The sequence below is a fragment of the Homo sapiens genome, chromosome 6 (assembly GCF_000001405.40).
Source record: "Homo sapiens chromosome 6, GRCh38.p14 Primary Assembly".
In the NCBI taxonomy this organism is placed as follows: Eukaryota; Metazoa; Chordata; class Mammalia; order Primates; family Hominidae; genus Homo; species Homo sapiens.
The window spans coordinates 14,301,602-14,308,709 of NC_000006.12; the positions used below are offsets into that span (position 1 = coordinate 14,301,602).

The 7,108-nt window shown below is 42.7% G+C and overlaps 2 annotated features.

Annotated features, from left to right (window-relative positions):
- Positions 156-795: an enhancer, noted in NCBI's record as "NANOG-H3K27ac hESC enhancer chr6:14301988-14302627 (GRCh37/hg19 assembly coordinates)". NCBI's record gives its function as "activates a minimal SCP1, AML or CMV promoter by ChIP-STARR-seq in naive H9 embryonic stem cells {active_cell/tissue: H9 hESC(naive)}" and the evidence as "EXISTENCE:reporter gene assay evidence [ECO:0000049][PMID:30033119]".
- Positions 796-1,436: an enhancer, noted in NCBI's record as "OCT4-NANOG-H3K27ac hESC enhancer chr6:14302628-14303268 (GRCh37/hg19 assembly coordinates)". NCBI's record gives its function as "activates a minimal SCP1, AML or CMV promoter by ChIP-STARR-seq in naive H9 embryonic stem cells {active_cell/tissue: H9 hESC(naive)}" and the evidence as "EXISTENCE:reporter gene assay evidence [ECO:0000049][PMID:30033119]".

A 7,108-nucleotide genomic window follows, 5' to 3' on the forward strand; every position in this document is an offset into this window, starting at 1 on the left:
AAATAAGGGACTGGGGCACAGAGATACAAGGTTGGGGCACGGGAATAAGGGATTGGGGCACAGAGATAAGAGGTCGGGGTGTGGAAATAAGGGATTGGGGCGCAGAGATAAGAGGTTGGGGCACGGAAATAAGGGATTGGGGCACAGAGATAAGAGGTTGGGGCGTGGAAATAAGGGATTGGGGGTTCTTGCCCCATAGAAAAGCGGGACTTGCCGCTAAGGGTGAAGGAGAAGGGGTTGAGGGGTACTTGCCCCTCCCCCAGAAAGGCAGAGAAGGGGTAGAGACAAGGAGAGAAGAGGTTGGGGTACTTGCCCCTTTCCCAGAAAAGCAGGACTTGCCGCTAAGGGTGAAGGACCAAGGCAGGCGTCCCTGCATGGTCTGACACCTTTGAAACGTGTGAATAATCAGGCGTCCCTGCAATGACTAAACACCAAGGGAAGGCTGCCTTCCCTGTCCGTGACTAGCGCCGGAGTTTTGGGTCCACGGATAAAACGTGTCTCCTTTGTCTCTCCCACAAAATGAAAGGAATTGAAATTAAGAGAAGGGAGAGATTGAAGAGTGGAAAGGAGAAAGTGGTTGAGGGACAGTGAGAGAGGTTGGAGAAGAGAGTAAGAAGAGGCTGCTTACCTGATTTAAAATTGGTGAGATGTTCCTTGGGCTGGTCGGTCTGAGGACCTGAGGTCGTAGGTGGATCTTTCTCACGGAGCAAAGAACAGGAGGACAGGGGATTGATCTCCCAAGGGAGGTCCCCCAATCCAAGTCACAGCACCAAATATCATGCGCGTCCATGTGAAGAGACCACCAAACAGGCTTTGTGTGAGCAATAAAGCTTTTAATCACCTGGGTGCAGGTGGGCTGAGTCCGAAAAGAGTCAGTGAAGGGAGATAGGGGTGGGGCCGTTTTATAGGATTTGGGTAGGTAAAGGAAAATTACAGTCAAAGGGGGGTTGTTCTCTGGCGGGCAAGAGTGGGGGTCACAAGGTGCTCAGTGGGGGAGCTTTTTGAGCCAGGATGAGGCAGGAAAAGGACTTTCACAAGGTAATGTCATCACTTAAGGCAAGGACCAGCCATTTACACTTCTTTTGTGGTGGAATGTCATCAGTTAAGGTGGGGCAAGGCATATCACTTCTTTTGTGATTCTTCAGTTACTTCAGGCCATCTGGGCGTATATGTGCAAGTCACAGGGGATGCGATGGCTTGGCTTGGGCTCAGAGGCCTGACAGTCACCATTGATACATCTACATTGATTTATCATTATCACTCAGAGTCCACAGTTTATATTAGGATTTGCTCTTGGTGTTGGATGTCCTATGGGTTTGGACAAATTTATGATGGTGTATATCTACCATTATAGTATCCTACAGAGTAATTTTACTGCCTGAAAACCCTCTGTACTCTGCCTGTTCATCCCTCCCTCCCCTCTAACCTCTGGCAATCATTCATCTTTTTCCTGTTTCCATAATTTTGCTTTCCCAGGATGTCACACAGTTAGAGTCATAAAGTATGTAACCTTTTCAGATTGGCTTGTTTCACTTAGTACTATGCATGTAAACTTCCTCCATGCCTTTTCATGGCTTGATAGCCCATTTTGTTTTAGTGCTGGATGATATTCCTTTGTCTGAATGTGCCACAGTTTGTCCATTCACCTAATGAAGGACATCTTGGTTTTCTCCATGTTTTGGCAACTATAGACAAGCCATTATAAACATCCTGTGTAGGTTTTTGTGTGGACATACATTTCCAACTCATTTGGGTACATACCAAGGAGCGTGATTGCTGGATCATACGGTAAGAGCATGTTTAGTTTTGTAAGAAACTGTCAACTGGTCCTCTAAAGTGGCTGTACGCTTTTGCATTTTCACCAGTGATAAATGAGAGTTCCTGTTGCTCCGTATCCTCACTAGCATTTGGTGCTGTCAGTGTTTTTTGGCTATTTGAATAGGTGTGTAGTGGTATCTCATTATTGTTTTAATTTGCATTTCCTTGATCACATATGATGTGGAGCATCTTTTCATATGCTTATTTACCATCTCTATATCTTCTTTGGATGGGTGCCTGTTAAGGACTTTGGTCCATTTAAAAAATTTGATTGTTTGTGTTCTTACTGTTGAGTTCAAAGCATTCTTATGTATATTTTGGATAACAGTCTTTTATCAGATATGTCTTTTGCAAATATTTGCCCCCAGTCTGTAGCTTGTCTTTTCATTCTCTTGACAATATCTTTTGCAGAGCAGAAATTTTTAATTTGAATAATGTTAAGTTTATTATTTCTTTCCTTGTGCCTTTGGTGTCATTACATAAAAAGTCATGTCTAAGCCCAAGGTCATCTAGATTTTCTCCTATACCGTCTCCTAAAAGTTTTATACATTTTACATTTAAATCTGTGATCCCTTTTTAATGTTCTATATTGAAAAATTTTAAATATGCACATAAGTAAAGGAAAGAGAATAATGACTCCATCTACCCATCATCTGCTGCCCAGTGTCATCAATTATTATTATACCAGTTTTATTTCATTTATCTTTTCCCTCCACATTGGTGTTTTTGTTTGCTTGTTTAATATGATGTAATTTCACTCCTACCTGCTTGGGAGGGGTAACCTTTTCAGGCAGCAGTTCGACATGGGGACCTTACCCTGTATGTGCTGGGTTCACTAAGTGTTAGTGCTGGTTCTGCCTACACTTTGGGGGCCCTGGTTCCTACAAAATTTTCACAGTGGCCCAGCTAGCTTAGTCACATTACGTCTATTAATCTGAGTTGATTTTTACAATTCCTTCTGGATAGTCCTTATTATGTTTGCTTTGAAAATCTAGCTTTTGCACCTCCACTTAAGCACAAGCCTGAATAGCTTCATTTGCTTTGAGAGAAAAGCAAGTGGAGCCAGTCAACCTTATGAATGAATGGAAGAGAAAAACAGTCAATGTGCCTAACTACAAGACATTGAGTAAAGATGAGCATAGTGTGAAAAACAGAGGCAAATTTCCCAAACTGCACATCCAGACTTGCCTGCAAAACATTGTTAGTGTGGAATCACAGACTTTTAGTGCCCTAAGGACTTTAGCAACTGTTTGGCCATAACACCCTCATTTTATGGATCCAGAGATACTAAGTAATTTATTTGAGGTCACACCGCTTGCTTTCTGATACTAAAGTCTGAGCCCTTAAACCATACCTCTCCGCAGCCTCCAGGTACTGGTAAAAGTACCAAGGCATGGAAGAGTGAGGAAGGGTGATTGTCTGAGACAATGGTAAGGAGTTAGCCTAGCCTTAAGTATCTTTAACTGTTGACATTTTCTTCAAAGAAGTCATTTGCTTTATTTGTAACCAATACATATTAGATTCATGGTAGATATATACTAGGTGATAGCATAGAATGGCCCATGATAGAAGAAAATTACCATTTTTTAAGGAAAAGGCCCTCCCAGTGGCACGGTTAGCTCAGATGGGAGAATGAGGCCAGGATGGACTGGGAAGGCCCGAGCATCTCTCTGTGCTGGGAAGAAGGCAGGCCTGACAAGCCACAACTCCCTCACCAGTAGAAAACTCACTGAAGGCATGTATCCACACAGTGGTAGGTAAGGTGCAGCATCCAGAAAGGTGAGAGGAAATAGGCTCGCTCACTAACATTCAAGGGAAGGGCCATGCAAAAGCCCTCAGCTGTAAGAAACCGTCCTTGCAACCCGTGTTGCCCTGACTCATTTCTTGTTCTTCCAAGTTTGAACAGTGCCCAGGTTGATGACAGGAACTAGAAATGATGTCAAGACTTAACTCTCATTTTACTCATAAAGGCGTGGCAGGAACGTGGGTAGCCCCTAGGGTGAATGCTACCCATGGAAGAAGATGAACCATCCTTATTAAGCCCTCCATGTGCAGGGCATGGGGTGCTGCTGTGTGAGAAGAGAGAAAAATAGCTCTCTATAATATGGGTTGTTGAACATTATGGGCTTCTCAGAATGAGTTAAATTCTCTTCTGTGGCTGACCATAATTCACCATAGAGACTCCTCTCCTGGATATATATTTTTGAAATTCCTAGACATGCAGAGATAAGTCCACCCTGGAACCTGTAATGGGGTTCCTCCCTGAATTAGCTCAGGCCCCAAAGGGACAAGGTGCTATCTGTGACCTGTGCCAGGGAATACTCTGTACCCTGAAAGCCAAGCCTCAAGTATTCACGGCTTGCTATCTCCAGGGTAATTAAAGGGGAGAGAGTAAATCACACACTGAAAAACAGCCCTGAGTGCTTAAGTACATGTCAGTCACCGAGACTGGCATCTACTCAGAGTGGAGGAGACCTGGGGTTTGCATTACACACAACACCCCATGAGATCATTAGGGCTACTTCAAGCACATGGCTTTCAGGGTTACCACAGCCCCTCCTTTTTGCCCAAGTAAATGCAATCAGATTCAACTGGGAACAAATTAGGGAGGCAAAATAAAGCACACTTACTGAAAACCAGCAAGAAACTCTACTGTCTCCTATTAGAAAAATTAGAAACCATTTAACAACAAGAGACCATTTTGTGTTGGAAATAAAAGAGGCCCTGAATGAAGAGTGCCACGCCAGAGCTGAGGGCGCCTTCCAGGTGAGATCAAACGCGGAATGGGGGGCCAGCCTGGACTAAGCTGGGTTCACCTAAGTCCTTATTAGCTGATGAGCAAAGACTGCCCAGCGAACCAGATGTGTGAAAATTGGCCAAGAATCAACTTTCCATGGCATGTTTTCTTGGTAGATTTACTTGTATAATTTCCTATGTAAGAGGAAAAATAGCTTGGGCAGCATTTTCCAGAAGACTGGCACTAAGTCAATTTCAGTCCTTGAAAACTTAGAGGTCTAGCCAGGCATCCATAACGAAGTTGTGGCCAGTCTTTTTTTTTTTTCATATGTTTTTTCTTCTCTATTTCCTTTTAGACCTCATGGTCACACCTCATATATTAAGATTCTAATTTGTTTAACATCTAGGTGCTGAGCAAAAAGGAAACACTAAACACTGATGGATAGGGTCGCTACTGGGTAGCAATAAATGGGGGTGGGGAGTTGTGCGAAGAGCGAGAAAGTACACAGCTGATTTTCATTTCCTAATAGGCATTCTGCCTGGAAACCTGTATAAAGACCTGAAATATGTATTGCTCTAAAGACTGTGAATGTTTAAAATGTCATCTTAAATTAGTAAGTGTCTTTAAATCTTCACTCTTTTGTCACGTTTTAGTAATGTTTATTACACACCATAAATCTTATTCATATCCACATAAATTGAGCCCCTAACCACGAGGGAAACAAGTACTTCTACTCACTGATATAAGATTCCGGAGCAGTGGATGACATCAAATATTATGATTGCAAAAAAGAAAGCTCTCCTGGGGAAACTGGTTTGGGGAGAAGGAATAATCACCTTTCTACTTTCGTTGTGGAGAAAAAATGTTAATATCTCTGAAATTCTGTCTAGCAATTTTGGGGGTTCAAATAAGTGGTCATGATCTAATGAAAGTTTAAATAAGTCGTTTCTACTGTGCTTGCATTCGGATTGATTTCAGCAAGTATAGTAATGGTGAATAAGATAAATCGAAAAGAAATCAAAGTTTGTTAAGATAGTACAAAAAAAGAAGCAATTTATAAAGGTTGAGGGGTTATCTGCAGTGGGATTTTAGTGTATGTGAGGACAAAGAGTGACAAGATAAGAGTGGAGAGAAAAAAGAGTTCTGTTTAGAAGTTCTGGACTGGCTGTCCCCAGACATCTGGGTTTCAAAGACCAGTAAAATCTTTTTTTTTAAATTTCAGAGACTGACATACGGTTGATAGCTTTTAATTTTTCCAAATAAAGGACATAAAAATGTTATTAACTATCATTTTGCATTCTTCTAAACAATAAGGATCCTTTTACTCAGAGTTTTAAAAACTAAATCAGTTAAACTTTAGGGAAAATTCACCTTGTCATCCTTTATTTTCTCATTTTGCCATTACTTTGCAATGGAACGCAGACAACTGTTTAGGAATTGCTGCAGGTTCCATGGAGACCTATTTTTAATACCAGTGAGGTCTTCAATATTTTAGGAAGAGATTTCCCCCACCCCCGCACCTTGGTCCTATGAGCTCTCCTCAGGTGATTTTGTCTGCTGACTACTCAGGTTCCCGATCAGAGAGAAACATTCAGCTAGGATGTTGTGTACAGTCACCCATTAGCTTTTGTTCTGCCAGGGATTGTCAGAGATGGCCTGGTGGGGACAATGACTGGGCGAGGAACTCTGGACTTAACTAGGTCTAATGTTGATATGGTTGGGATCTGTGTCCCCACCCAAATCTCATGTTGAAATGTAATCCTCAGTGTTAGAGTTGGGGCCCGGTGGGAGGTGACTGGATCATGGGGGCAGATTTCTCATGAATGGTTTAGCACCATCTCCTCGGTACTGTCCTCACAATAGTCAGTGAGTTCTCACGAGATCTGATCTTTTAAACGTGTGTGGTACCTCCACCCTCTTTCTCTGGCTCCTGCTTTCATCATAAGACACCTGCTCCGCCTTCATCTTCTGCCATGATTGGGAGCTTCTTGAAGTCTCCCCAGAAGCAGTTGCCCCTATGCTTCCTGTACAGCTTGCAGAACTGTGAGCCAATTAAGCCTCTTTTCTTTATAAATTACCCAGTATCAGGTATTTCTTTATAGCAATGTGAGAATGACTTAATACAAAGGTCATCTCTGACTGCCTGGAAATGCTTTCTTTAGCTTCCAGATTTTCATGCAAGAGACATCTGCTCTTATAAATCCTTCCTGACCAGCAGCCACCTTAGCCCTGGGTAGAGTAGACAGGGGGTGGCAAGCTTGGCTGAAAAGCAGAACGATGTGGAAGCATTTATTAAATGTAAATTTGTTCTCCACCTGCTCTGGAAATTCTAATGTCATCGTTCTGGGATATGCTCTGGAAGGTGTATTTTGATTTAAGAACTAAAACTCTCTGGCTGATTCTGAAGCCTGAAGCCCACCTTCTCCTGGGCACCCTCCTTCCCTAGGACAGACTTGGTATTATATCCCCTATAACACTTCAGTGCACTTCCTGAATTGCTTTTCTCCCTTGGCAGTTGTCTCTCTCAACCCCCATGTCCATCCCTGCACCAAC